A 14,787-nucleotide genomic window follows, 5' to 3' on the forward strand; every position below is an offset into this window, starting at 1 on the left:
ACTTTTGGCCTATTTTTTTTTTTAATTGTGCTTGTTTTTCTTTCTTTCTTTCTTTCTTTCTTTCTTTCTTTCTTTCTTTCTTTCTTTTCTTTTCTTTCTTTTCTTTCTTTCTTCTCTTTTTTTTTTTTTTTTTGAGACGGAGTTTCACTGTCACCCAGGCAGAGTGCAGTGGTGCGATCTTGGCTCACTGCAACATCCACCTCCCAGGTTCAAGCAATTCTCCTGCCTCAGTCTCGTGAGTAGCTGGGATTACAGGCATGTGCCACGATGCCTGGCTAATTTTTGTCTTTTTAGTAGAGACCAGGCTGGTCTTGAACTCCTCGTCTCTGCCTGCCTTGGCTTCCCAAAGTGCTGGGATTACAGTGTGAGCCACTGTGGCCAGCCAAATTGTGCTTGTTTTCTTATTGAGTTTTGAGGGCTGTTTATATATTCTAGATACAAGTCATCCCATATGAGGTTTATCATTTGTATTTTCTCCCAGTCTGGCTTGCTTTAACAATGCCTTTCAAAGAGCAGATGGTTTACATTTTTATGACATTCAGTTTACCAAATTTTTTTATATATTGTGCTTTTGTGTCATATCTAAGAAATTTTTGTCTAACCCAAGGTCACAAATGTTTTCTCCTATATTTTCTTCCAGAATTTTATAGTTTTAGTTTTTACATTTAGGTAGATAGTTCATTTTGAGTTAATTTTAGCCTAAGTATCAGGTATGAATCAAAGTTTACATTTTTGTATGTGGGTATTCAGTTGTTCTAGCATCATTTATAATAAAGACCATTCTTTTCCCACCAAGTTTCCTTGGCATCTTTAATGAAAATCGGTAGACCATGTTGGAGAGGGAAGGGTCTATTTCTGGGCTCTGGGCTCTGTGTGTTGTTCCGTTTCCTTATTTATCTGTCCTTACACCTCGTATAGCCATGACCACTGTGATTTTCTTAAAATTCTTGAAATTATACAGTTTGAGTCCTCCAACTCTGCTTTTTTTTTTTAATTTTCTGTTCTTTTTTTTTTTTTTTTTTTTTTTTTTAAGACAAAGTCTTGCTCTGTCACCCAGGATGGAGTGCAGTGGCTTGATTTTGGCTCACCGCAGCCTCTGCCTTCTGGTGTCAAGCGATTCTCCTGCCTTAGCCTCCCAAGTAGCTGGAACTCCAGGCAACTGCCACCACACTTGGCTAATTTTTTTTTCTTTACTACAGGTGCATACCAGCAAGCTTGGCTAATTTTTGTATTTTTTAGTAGAGATGGGATTTTGACCTGTTGGCCAGGCTAGTCTAGAACTCAAGTGATCTGCCCACCTCAGAACCCCAATGTGCTGGGATTACAGGGGTGAGCCACTGTGCCCAGCCCCCCATTTTTTTTTTTTTTAAATAGTGACTCTGTTGCCCAGGCTGGAGTTCACTGACATGATCATGGCTCACTGTAGCCTGAAACTTCTGGACTCAAGCAATCCTTCCTTCTCAGCCTCCCAAGGAGCAGGGACTGCAGGCACAAGCCACCACATCCAGATAATTTTTTATTTTTTAAATTTTTTGTAGAGACAGGGTCTTGCTGTGTTGACCAGGCTAGTCTTAAACTTCTGGCCTCAAGCGATCCTCTCCTGCCTTAGCTAACCAAAGTGCTGGGATTACAGCTGTGAGCCACTGCTCCTGGCTGGCCAATGACTTTTTTTTTTTTTTTTTTTTTTTGAGAAGAAGTCTCCCTCTTTCACCAAGGCTGGAGTGCAGTGGCGCAATCTCGGCTCACTGCAAGCTCCGCCTCCCGGGTTCATGCCATTCTCCTGCCTCAGCCTCCCGAGTAGCTGGGACTACAGGCGCCCGCCACCACACCCGGCTAATTTTTTGTATTTTTAGTAAAGATGGGGTTTCACTGTGTTAGCCAGGATGGTCTCGATCTCCTGACCTCGTGATCCACCTGCCTCAGCCTCCCAAAGTGCTGGGATTACAGGGCCATGACTTCTTAACATTACCATGGAATAGTCGTGACCTCATAAACTTCCTGAAAGGGACTTGGATGCCCCAGGGGTCCCTGGACCATTTAAAAAACTGCTTAGGCCGGGCGCGGTGGCACACGCCTGTGATCCCAGCAGTTTGGGAGGCCAAGGCAGGTGGATCACGAGGTGAAGAGATCGATACCATCCTGGCCAACATGGTGAAACCCCATCTCTACTAAAAATACAAATTAGCCAGGTGTGGTGGCGCATGCCTGTAGACTCAGCTACTTGGGAGGCTGAGGCAAGAGAATCGCTTGAACCCAGGAGGCGGAGATTGCAGTGAGCTGAGATCATGCCACTGCACTCTAGCCTGGCAACAGAGTGAGTCTCCGTCTAAAGCAAAAAAACAAAAACAAAAAAAAACCTGCTAGCTTAGAACAAGTCCTGTTTCCTGGAAGGCATTCAGTAAGTGTTTTCTAAATGAATTGATTCCAAAATGACTGTCCAGTGGGGCCCACACTTGGATGGATTTGTAAGCTCTGATGCATCGTGTGGTTTGTCCTTGGACCTTACACCTGTGTCCACTTCTTCAGATGTGTCCTGGCCTCAGTGCTCCTCTGTCCTTCCCGTGACAGGTGTCCCTGTGAACAGCAGAGTGTCCTCCAAAATCCAGCAGCTTCTGAACACCCTGAAGAGGCCAAAGCGCCCTCCACTGAAGGAGTTCTTTGTGGATGATTTTGAGGAATTGTTGGAAGGTAAGAGTTGTCCAACTTTGAGCTTTTCTGTTTGTATGAAAAGGGTGGCCACGAAGTTGAGAAACACAGGCAAATGTATATTATACATGGATATTGCTATATATATTCTGTTTCCAGACTCAGTGGTCACTGGGTGTAATGGTGAATTTAGAATCACATGACTGCTTCCTTTATTTGAGCAGGTAGAAAATTTGCTGCTCATATTCAAGTGACTTGGCATTTCATAAAAATTCTTCTACGGTTTTATTTAACTTACATTATTTAAATGTTTAATTTAAACTTTAACTCTGAAATACTTACCTTCTTGTGGTTTTAAAGTATTTAATTTTCAGCATAGATTTGGCTGCTTTTCAGAATTTTAGCCTCTCATATGTGAATGAAATACGTATTTAGGAAGAATACACACATATTTTTTAAAAGAGAAAACTAGCAAGCAGAAACCAGAAATGAAGCCAGTACAAACATGTGAGTGTGTCGTTAGGGCCACAGGGGCCCCATGCTGGTCCTACTCGCAGACCTTGGCTGTTTGTACAGTGACACTGCTGACAGCCGACCAGCCCAGAGTCTCCTCCACACCCGAGGATTAGACATAGCTTTCAGGAGATTATTTCCCCGTTGTAATCAGATAGTGTGTATTAGTCAGGGTTCTCTAGAGGGACGGAACTAATAGGATAGATGTATACATATAAAGGGAAGTTCATTAAGGCATATTGACTCACACGATCACAAGGTGAGGTCCCACAGTAAGCCATCTGCAAGCTGAGAGCAAGGAAGCCAGTCTGAGTCCCAGTGCTGAAGTACTTGGAATCCAATGTTCTAGGGCAGGAAGCATCCAGCACAGGAGAAAGGTGTAGGCTGGGAGGCTAGGCCAGTCTAGTCTTTCCACGTTCTTCTGCCTGCTTTATTCTGGCCGTGCTGGCAGCTGATTAAACTGTGCCCACCCAGATTTAGGGTGGGTCTGCCTTTCCCAGTCCACTGACTCAAACGTTAATCTCCTTTGGCAACACCCTCACAGACACACCCAGGAAGAATACTTTGCATCCTTCAATCCCATCAAGTTGACATCAATATTAGCCATCACACAGTGCCTTTCAAATTCAGAGTTTATTGGTATGAATGCATCTTAGAGCAGTGTTTCTTACCACTTGGGCAAATTTTGGTTATACAGCTCCTAGAAAAAGATTAATTCTTTTTAAAGTAAAAAACAAGATTAAAGTAATCTTTTTCCAGGAGCTATATAATCAAATAATCTTTTTTTTTTTTTTTTTTTTTGAGGCAGAGTCTCACTCTGTCGCCCAGGCTGGAGTGCAGTGGTGCGATCTCGAATCACTTCAAGCTCCACCTCCTGAGTTCACGCCATTCTCCTGCCTCAGCCTCCCGAGTAGCTGGTACTACAGGCGTCCACCACCACACCTGGCTAATTTTTTTTTGTATTTTTAGTAGAGACAGGGTTTCACCATGTTAACCAGGATGGTCTCGATCTCCTGACCTCATGATCCACCCGCCTCGGCCTCCCAAAGTGCTGGGATTACAGGCATGAGCCACCACGCCCAGCCTATAATCAAATAATCTTTTAATTCTTTTTCTTTGAACATAGTGATAGTTGTTTGGATCCCTAGGCTGAAGTGGTGGTTCTGCTTGCTTTCCTCCTGTGTGAGTGGGCCACCAGGTCCTATCTCCAGGCTGTGGATACCTGGCTGTTCACCGCTGTGGTGCCGGGGGTAGCAGAGGTGCCACAGTCCTGTCCAGAAGTTGGGAAAGTGGGAACCACTCCAAGGTCACCTTTGTCTGTGAGGTTGTGGTCACCAGGATGGTGGGTTGTTTTTAACTTTATTTCACAGCCGTCATCATCCATGACTAAAGCTCCTTTAATCCTTTGGTTAGTTGTCGGTGACTGTGATGCAAAAATCGAAACAAATTATTGTAAGCTTTTTTATAGTTGGGATTAAAAAACAATATTATAAACTATGAATGCTTAAAAACAGAATGTGTTCGTGGTGCTCTGAATTGCTGATTTTAAAGTTTTGATTTTGCTTGTAGTTCAGCAACCAGATCCAAATCAGCCAAAGCCTGAGGGAAGCGAGACGAGTGTGCTGAGAGGGGAGCCTCTCACTGCAGGTGTCCCCCGACCGCCGTCGCTGTTGGCCACCTTGCAGCGCTGGGGCACAACACAGCCCAAATCCCCCTGTCTGACTGCCTTGGATACAACTGGGAAAGCCGTCTACACTCTCACCTATGGCAAGTGTTAACAGAAAGCAGTTGTGCTTCTGGGTTAGCTGTAGAATGTCACACACATAACACAGCATAGACATACAGCTTGATAAATATTCCTGAGAAACCAGCACAGCTGGCAGATAAATAGAACATTGACCTATACCAGGTACCCATCCCACCGGAGGGGACCACTCACTGATGCATGGTGACTGCCATTGCTCTGGGTTCAAGTGTTTGGAGCGTTCTATGTATGCATTCTGAACAGTGTAGTTTAGTTTCGTCTTATTTTCAACTTTGTATAAGGGGAATCAGGCAGTATGTATTTCTGTGTGTTTGACATCTTTTGGTTCCATACTATGTTTTTTTTGTAACACAAATAGTAAGCATATATACAACCTGATGAATTCACAGAGTGAATATGGTCCTGTAATCAGCACTCCAAGCAGAAGTGTTGCTAGGTTCAAAGCCCCTCACACCCCTTCCACACGCAAAGGGTAACTACTGTCCTGACTGCCCACACTGTTGGCTTTACCTGCCTTTAAACAAGTGTTCTTTTAGTTTATTCTCATTGATGGTATTATTTTATCGTGTGAATATACTGGAACTTACTTACACACTCTTAAGTAGATGGACATTTGGGTGGTTTCCACTTTGGGGCTATTGTGTATAGTGCTGTTAGGGACATGCTTATGTGAGTTTCTTGGTGAGAATATGTAGGCATTTGTGCTAGGTATAAATGCAGAAGCAGAATTGTTCAGCATTAGGACATACTGCCAAACAGTTTTCCAAAGGCAGTGCAGCAGTTTTCACTCCCACAGGCAGTGAGTATGTGAGGGGTTCCAGTTATCTCTTTTCTCACCAGCTTTTGATATTGTTTATTTCATTATAGTCTTTGTTGTAGGTGTGTTGTAGCACAGGCTAATTTGCATTTGCCTGGTGACAAATTATGCTTTTCATATGCTTATTGGTTGTTTGAATATCCACATTTATGTACTATTCAAATATTTGGCTCATTTCTCTGTTTGCTAATGCTTTCATCTTTCTTTTTTATTTTTTTTCTGAGAAAAGGTTTCACTCTGTCACTCAGGCTAGAGTGCAGTGGTGCAATCATAGCTCACTGCTGCCTTGACCTCCTGGGCTCGAGATGCTCCTGCCTCAGCCTCCTGAGTAGCTGGGACCATAGGCTCACATCACCACACCCAGCTAATTTAAAAAAAAAAACAAACAAAACAAAAAAAACTTTTTTTTTGTAGAAATGGGGGGTCTCCCTATGTTGCCCAGGCTGATATCGAACTCCTGGCTAAGGCAGTCCTCCCATCTTAGCCTCTCAAAGTGCTGGGATTACAAGTGTGAGCCACTGCACCTGGCCTCTTATTTCTTTGTATGTTTCAGATAGGCATCTTTCCTGAGATGCATGTTTTGCAAATGTCTCCTCACTATTTGGATTGCCTTTTAACACTTTTAATTATGGCTTTTAATGAATGAAAAGTCTTAATGTAATCTAACTTACATGTTGTTTTTTTTTCCTGTATTGTAGCTAAGTTTTTGTCTAATTTAGAAATTTTTTACCAAACTTAAGGTCACAAAGATATTTTCCTGCATGCTCTTCTAAAACCTTTATTGTTTTACTTTTCACATTTAGGTGTGATGATCCATTTAGAATTTAATTTTGTATATTGTTGGAGTAAAGTTGTATATTGTTGGTATAAAGTTGGAGTCATTTTCTTATGAGTATCTAACTGACTCAGTATCATTTATTGAAAAGGCAATCCTTTCCCCAAAGTACTGCAGTGTTACTTTGTTATATAGTGGGTGAAAAATGTACTTGCGGGTCTGTTTCTGGGCTCCTGTTGGCGGGGGGTGTTGTCAGTCTGTTGTCTCTCCATGCTCTGAATCACTGTAGCATTAGGAGTCCTCTTGCTCTGTGATGGTTCCTCAAGATTGCCTTGACTCTTCTTGGCTCTTTGTATTTCCAAGTAAACTTTAGAATTAACTTGTCAATTTCCATAAAAATTACTACTGGGATATTGATTGGCATTGCATTGAATCTCTAGTTCAATTTGAGTAGAATTAATGTTTTATAGGTTGAGAGCATCCCAAATATGAAAATCCAAAATCCAAAATGCTCTAAAATCTGAAACTGCTTGAAGCTGACATGATGCTCAAAGAAAATGCTCATTGGAGCATTTTGGATTTCTGATTTTTGGACTTGTGATGCGATGCTCAACTGGGAAATAAATATAATGCAAATATTCCAAAATCTAAAAAAAAATTGAAATCCCAAACACTTCTAATCTCAAGCATTTCGGATAAGGGATACTCAACCTGTATTACAATTATGGAATCTTCCAGTTTATGATTGTGGAATATTTTCCCCTTTTTAAAGGCCTGCTTCAATTTCTGTCAGTAATGTTTTTATACTTTGGAATACAGAAGTCTTGAGCACCTTTTATTAGATTTATTCCTGTTACAAGTGCTGTAATTTGTAATTTTCTCTACTGATTTGTTGCTTATATATAGAATTGCAATCTATATTATTATTATTTTAAAATGATGACTTTGTGCTGGGCGCGGTGGCTCACACCTGTAATCCCAGCACTTTGGGAGGCCGAGGCAGGCGGATCATGAGGTCAGGAGATCAAGACTTTCCTGGCTAACGCGGTGAAACCCCGTCTCTACTAAAAAAAATACAAAAATTAGCCGGGCGTGGTGGTGGGCGCCTGTAGTCCCAGCTACTTGGCAGGCTGAGGCAGGAGAACGGCATGAACCCAGGAGGCGGAGCTTGCAGTGAGCTGAGATCGCACCACTGCACTCCAGCCTGGGCGACAGAGCAAGACTCCATCTCAAAAAAAAAAAAAATGATGACTTTGTATCCAGTTATCTCACTAAGTTAACTTATTAGTTCTTTGTTTACTCATAATTAGAAGTTTGTCTATATATCTTTTGTATTACCTGTCTACAAAAATCACATTATTGGTGAATAATGATAGTGTTATTTTGTCCTTTCCAATACTTAAACTTTTATTCTTTTTTTTTTTTTTTTTTTTTTTGGTTTTTTTTTTTTTGCACAAGCTAGAACCTCCAGTACAGTGTGAAATAGAACAATGTTGAAGAGTGGGCATTCTTGCCTGTTTTTCCATCTGAGGAAAAGCCTGTGGTAATTAAGTATGATGTGTTCTGTAGTTTTGTTTGCTTGTTTGTTGGTAGAAACTGTCAGATTAAGAACGTTCCCTTCTCCTTGTTTGTTAAAAGTTGTTATCATGAGTTGGGATTGAATTTTGTCAAATGCTTTTTCTGCTGCTAGAAAGAAGATCATATGATTTTCCTCCTTCATTAATTTGGTGAATTATTTTGATTAATTTTCTAATGTAAAGCAGCCGTTCATTTGTAGAATAAATCCCACTTGGCCATAATATCTTACCCTTTTAAATATACACCCAGATTTAATTTGCCAATAAGTTGTTTAGGATTTTTACGTCTGTTTTCATTAGAAAAATTGATCTGTAATTCTTTAAGAAAGGAGCCCATTGCCAGCCTTTGATGAGTATGCCTAGCTCACAGCCTCAACTGTTAAACCAGCGTTCAAATCTAGGTCATGCTATTGGCAGAGCAGTCCCTGGCCAATGGCCAAGTAAGGCAGTGGGACAAGGGCCTATTTTCTGTTAGCATGGACTTTCCTTAAAAACAGCATTGGGCTTGTGGAGACTGTCAGTTCTACATTGTGGCTTGACAGCTCCTCCTGCCCAATCTTGCTACCTGTCTTTTCCTATCACAGATTTTTATTCTTTAGTAATCCTTTTGCATGCCTGAGCCTTTCTCAGCGTCTGCTTTGTGAAGAACCCAGCCTGTGACACACTTCCTCTTTTTTTTTTTTTATATATTCTCCTTGGCTTGCAGTTTAAGTCTGCATTTATTTACAAAGTGTAAGATATTACTACCATTGTGTGTATTTATTTATTTTTTTGAGACAAGGTTGTGTTCGGTCACCCAGGCTGGAGTGCAAGGGCGTGATCTCGGCTCACTGCAAGCTCCACCCCCCAGGCTCAGGTGATCCTCCCACCTCAGCCTCCCTTTTACCTGGGACCACAGGCACACACCATCATGCTTGGCTACTTTTTTGTATTTTTAGTGTAGTCGAGGTCTCGCCATGTGGCCTGGGCTGGTCTCAAACTCCTGAGCTCAAGCAGTCTGCCGGCCTCCCTCCCAAAGTGCTGGGATTACAGGCGTGAGCTCCCATGCCCGGCCCATTGTTTTTTGTTTGTTTGTTGTTTTAATCAACCATACATTTTTATTCTTTCTTTTACTATATACATTCCTTCCTGAGATTCTGTATTTTCCTGGGTAATCATTTCCTTCTGGCCTGTAGAACTTCCTGTATGTTCGTTATACTGTAGCTTTGCTGGCAACTTCATTTTTGAAGGTTATATTTCGTGGTGGTTTATCTTCTTTCAGCAATGCAAAGATATTGTTTATAGGCTTTTGAGAAGATGCCAGACCATTGTTGCTCTATTGACAGTAATGTGTATGGCCGCTTAAAAAGTGTTCTTTTTATTTGAATTGCAGCCGTCTTACTATGACATTTAGAGGTGATGTTCTTTGAAAATTTCCTGTGATGTTCTTTGAAATTTTCAAGATGTCCACAGGGCTTCTTGAATCTGTAGAATGGTGTCTTTCATCTGTTTGAGAAAAATTACAGCCATCTTCTCTTACTATATTGCTTCTTCCTCACTTTTTTTCTTCTCTCCTTCTGGGACTCCAGTTACACTTATACTTTTTCCCTGAGTCCTACATTTTTAATGTTCTTTTTTATATTTTGCATTCTTTCTTATATATACTTCAATTTGTATATTTTCTATTTTCCTTTATTCAAATTCTTTAATCTTGTCTTCTGAAATTTCTTTTTTTTTTTTTTTTTTTTTGAGATGGAGTCTGGCTCTGTCGCCCAGGCTGGAGTGCAAGTGGTGCGATGTCAGCTCACTGCAAGCTCCGCCTCCTGGGTTCACGCCATTTTCCTGCCTCAGCCTCCTGAATAGCTGGGACTATAGGCGCCTGCCACCGCACCCAGCTAATTTTTTTGTGTTTTTAGTAGAGACAGGGTTTCACTGTGTTAGCCAGGATGGTCTCGATCTCCTGACGTCATGATCCACCTGCCTCGGCCTCCCAAAGTGCTGGGATTACAGCCATGAGCCACCGCTCTTGGCCCTGAAATTTCTAATCTGCTGTGAAATCCTGATGAGTTCCTTATTTTAGATATTGCCTTTTCAGTTTAGAATTTTCATTTCTTTATTATAGTTACTATTCTAATACTCTGGAAAAATTTCTCATTATTCCATACACTTTCCTAATCTTTGCTTCTGCTGCCTTGAATACACACATTAATTATTGTAAATGAAAGTCTTTGTTAGCTAACACCAATATCTGTATCACCTTTGGGTCTGTTGCTCTTGTCTGTGTTTTCTCTCTCTTTTTTTTTTTTTTTTTTTTTTTTTTTGAGACAGAGTCTTGCTCTGTTGCCCACACTGGAGTGCAGTGGTGATCACAACTCACTGCAGCCTTGACTTCTTGGGCTCAAGAGGTCCTCCCACCACAGCCTCCTGAGTAGCTGGGACTACAGGTGCACAGCACTACGCCCAGCTAATTTTTTCTTTCTTTCTTATTTTCTTTTTTTTATAGAGATGGGGTTTCACTGTGTTGTCCAGGCTGGTCTTGAACTCCTGGGCTCAAGTGACCTGCCTGCCTCAGCCTCCCAAAGTGCTGGATTACAGGCGTGAGCCACCATGCCTGGCCTTTTTGATTGAATATTGTATGTTGTGTATAAAAACATTATGGCAGGTCCAGACAATGCCATCTTCCTTAAGAGAAACCTCTTTCCCCTCCAAGTAGAGTAGTGGCTGGCTGGTCGCTGCAGTCCAGTCATGCCTGGCCCAGCCGGCCTTTGCTCTCCTCTGGCTCTCCTGGGCTTTCTGCCAGTGCCTGGTGTGTCCATGTGTCTCTTTCCTCTGATGGCTTCCCAGCCGTGGCGTTGGTCTCCTCGTGGCTTCTTAACAACCCCATTCTGCTTTTCAGAGGTTTTCCACATGGGCTCTTGGTCTCCTGCTGCACACAGCCAGAGGATTCAGCACATGTCCTGCAGGAGGTGGCTGTGCTCTCGAGACTCCTAGCCTCTACCAAAAGCTCTGCAGGTTTCTTCATGTCCTGGTGGGACTGCTCCAGGTGGATACTCAGCCCCCCGTGGGGGCTGGAATCCCTGAACATGGACAGCGTAAAGACAGCTGCAGCTCAGCTCACTTTCCGGAGGGTTTTCCCTCTCTGGAATCTTAACTCCTCTAGTTGTCTTTGCTGAGCAGCAACTTGCTGCCTCCAAAAGATCATTTCTGCATTTTATTCAGTTTTTAAACTCATCTTAGGCAGGAGTGCTGGTCTGCCACCAGTACCCTCTCCTACTCGGAAGCAGAGTCTTCCACCATTGTGCTTTTAAAATTCATCCATGTTATTGCGGGTAGTTGTAATTCATTTATTTCTGTTGAGGAATGAATATATCAGAATTTACTTAAGCATTATGCTGTTGCTGGAATACATGGGCTGTATCCAGTTTTAGCTACTAGAAACAGTGCTCCCAGGAAGATTCTGGTGTGTGCCACGTGGTAGCTAAGCATATGTTTCTGAAGGTTGAGTACTTAGGAGTGGAAGTACTAGGTCTAGGGTTATGGGCACCTTCACATTGCTGAGATGGCATCACCGTTCTCCAGTTCACCCTTGGCCCATCAGTGTGGGTGGGCCCTACCTGCTCCCCATCATTATCAGCACTTGGTATTGTCAGGCTTATGAATTTTAGCTACTCTCGTGAGAATATGGTGGTATTTCATTGTGGTTTTAATGTGCATTTTACTGATAACTAAATAGATTGAGATCTTTCCTGTCATTTTAACTTGCTCTTTTGTTAAGTACCCCTTGAATCTTTTACACATTTTTTCTGTAGTGAACGGCTGGGCACGGTGGCTTACATCTATACTCCCAGCACTTTGGGAGGCTGAGATGGGTGAATCACTTGAGGCTAGGAGTTTGAGACCAGCCTGGCCAACATGGCAAAAGCCTGTCTCTACTAAAAATACAAAAATCAGCCGGGTGTGGTGGCATGCGCCTATAGTCCCAGCTACTCGGGAGGCTGAGGCATGAGAATTGCTTGAACCCAGGAGGTGGAGGTTACAGTGAGCCAAGATTGCACCGCTGCACTGCAGCCTAAGTGACAGAGCGAGACCCTGTCTCAAGAAGTATATGTAAATAAAATGAAAACAAGTTTATTAAGAAAGCAAAGGAATAAAAGAATGGCTACTCCATAGGCAGACCAGCAGCTTGGGCTGCTGGACTAAGAATACTTAGAGTTATTTCTTGACTATATGCTAAACAAGGGGTGGATTATTCATAAATTTTCTGGGAAAGGGGTGGGCAGTTTCTGGAACTGAGGGTTCCTCCCATTTTAGACCATCTAGGATAACTTCCTGACGTTGCCATGGCTGCTGTAAACTGTCATGGCACTGGTGGGAGTGTCTTTTAGCATGCCAATCATTGTAAGTAGTATATAATGAGCAGTGAGTTCAACCAGAGGTCACTTACATTGCCATCTTCATTTGCGGGGACTTGGCCAGCTTCTTCACCACACATGCTGTTTTATCAGTAAGGTCTTTATGACCTGTATCTTGTGCCGACCTCCTATCTCATCCTGTGACTTAGAATGCCTAACTTCTGGGGGTGCAGCCCAGCAGATCTCAGCCTTATTTTACCTAGCCCCTATTCAAGATGGAGTTGCTCTGGTTTAAACGCCTCTGACATATTTCCCCTCTCTGTTTTATGAGAGAAGCCTTAATTCTAAAGGTTGTAGAGGGACAAAGATTCATCTTCTATAACTTCTTCAGGCTGAACAGGAGTGATGACATTCCTGCCTAACTATTAGGGTCTTTTATATTTGAGAAAGAAAGGAGCTAAGTCAGAAAGCATCAGTATGGTGAGGGCCATTCATAACGCCAAGAAAATTTGGTATCTGGAAGATTAATAAGTGTTCAGTTTAAGAAAACATTGAGTAAGCTTATCCTGCATTCCTACACAGAGTACAACAGCAATATATTCCACAACAGTAAAACAAAATAAGTAAAATTATCCCAAGTAAATTAAATAGGGATTTTCATGAACTGGGTAACTGTTGGAACTAAGATGATATGGGATTGCTAGCTGATTCCAGTGTGCCCAGAATTAGAATATTGATCTAGATTTTTTTTTTTTTTTTTTTTTTTTTTTTTTTTTTTTTGAGATGGAGTCTTGCTCTGCTGCTCAGGCTGGAGTGCAGTGGTGCGATCTCGGCTCACTGCAAGCTCCGCCTCCAGGGTTCACGCCATTCTCCTGCCTCAGCCTCCCAAGTAGCTGGGACTACAGGCACCCGCCACCACGCCCGGCTAATGTTTTGTATTTTTAGTAGAGACGGGGTTTCACCATGTTAGCCAGGACGGTCTCGATCTCCTGACCTTGTGATACACCCATCTCGGCCTCCTCAAGTGCTGGGATTACAGGCATGAGCCACCGCACCCAGCCTGATCCAGATTTTTACATTACCCATCTCTCTTGTTTCTCTCTACTTTACTCAATTGTTAAAAGCTGTAAATAGCTCAAAAGAGAAGTTTTCTTGGCTCTGAAAAACAAAACAAAGAATCAGCAACAATTTAAGCAAAAAGTCAAAACAAGTTACTTCTGTTTTCTACTGGTTCTATTAGTCCTATTAGTTCAGCTCATGTCAAAACAAGTTACTTCTGTCTTCTATTAGTTCTGTTAGTCCTATTAGTTCAGCTCATGCAGTTAACTCCTGTTCGATATTCATGAACATTTTGGCTCTCCATGAGAGTCCTGAAAGTTTTTCCTCTATTCTAATGTCGCAACCTCCAAAGTTATCAGAAACCTGCATTCAAAAACACCTGTTAGAGTTCTCTAGTTGATTATAAAACCACCTTCTAAAGAGGACCCAAACAAGACAACAATTTTGTATGGATGACAGAATGCCTTAGGGCAGCCTCTACAAAAGCCACAATTGACTAGGAATTTTGATTACTTCTGTGACATGGAACAATTTAACATACCAATTATATTAATAACATGTACTGTCATATCAGAGTTATAGAAGTTTCACACGATTTTGGAACACAAACCAATAACATATTTATACAAATATAGCCCAAAGAAAGCCACGCATCATTTCATATCTGACAGTGCTTGCTGTGTGATTTTTATACCAAATAAGCTGAATATGTCATTTTTTGGACTTGAGAGGACCTAATATCTAAAAGATTAATTAGGTCAGGAAAAGGCAGAATTTAGAGTATGATGTTGGAAAGTTTGTCAAATATTAAAGGTTTAAACGCTTGATATTACAAAATAGAATCCCAGGTCACCATAAGTCATTCATTTACCCAAAATGATAACTCAAAAATTTTTAAAAGGCAAAATCCTTTACTCATTAATAGAAGGAAGACTTAGCTTTCCAAATAATCTGTCTCCTTTCTTTCCCTTCTTTTTCCTATAGTTTATTCAAAAGGCAAACAAAAATCTTTGTTTTCTTTTCTTTTTTTTTCCTGAGACGGAGTCTCACTCTGTCACCCAGGTTGAAGTGCAGTGGCGTGATCTCGGCTCACTGCAACCTCCGCCTCCTGGGTTCAAGCAATTCTTCTGCCCCAGCCTCCTGAGTAGCTGGGACTACAGGTGTGCACCACCATGCCTGGCTAATTTTTGTATTTTTAGTAGAGACCGGTTTTCACCATGTTGGCCAGGCTTATCTCAAACTCCTGACCTCAAGTGATCTGCCTGCCCTGGCCTCCCAAATTGCTGGGATTACAGGCATGAGCC

At 41.9% G+C, this 14,787-nt stretch overlaps 1 protein-coding gene across 30 annotated transcripts in view; it reads left to right on the plus strand.

Moving 5' to 3' along the window:
* The window catches only part of DIP2A (disco interacting protein 2 homolog A), a 124,981-nt gene that overhangs the window by 47,798 nt on the left and 62,396 nt on the right, over positions 1-14,787 (plus strand). For 29 of the 30 annotated variants that reach the window (XR_007067786.1, XR_007067785.1, XR_007067784.1 and 26 more), the window contains 2 exons: positions 2,569-2,688; positions 4,729-4,926. Coding sequence is in view for 27 of the 30 variants with exons in the window: in NM_001353943.2 (NP_001340872.1) it covers positions 2,569-2,688; positions 4,729-4,926 (318 nt within the window). In the remaining 3 variants the exon portion in view is untranslated. The remainder of the gene's footprint in view (positions 1-2,568; positions 2,689-4,728; positions 4,927-14,787) is intronic. The other variant, NM_001146116.2, reaches the window with a different exon arrangement.

This window comes from Homo sapiens, chromosome 21 (assembly GCF_000001405.40).
Source record: "Homo sapiens chromosome 21, GRCh38.p14 Primary Assembly".
NCBI lineage: Eukaryota > Metazoa > Chordata > Mammalia > Primates > Hominidae > Homo > Homo sapiens.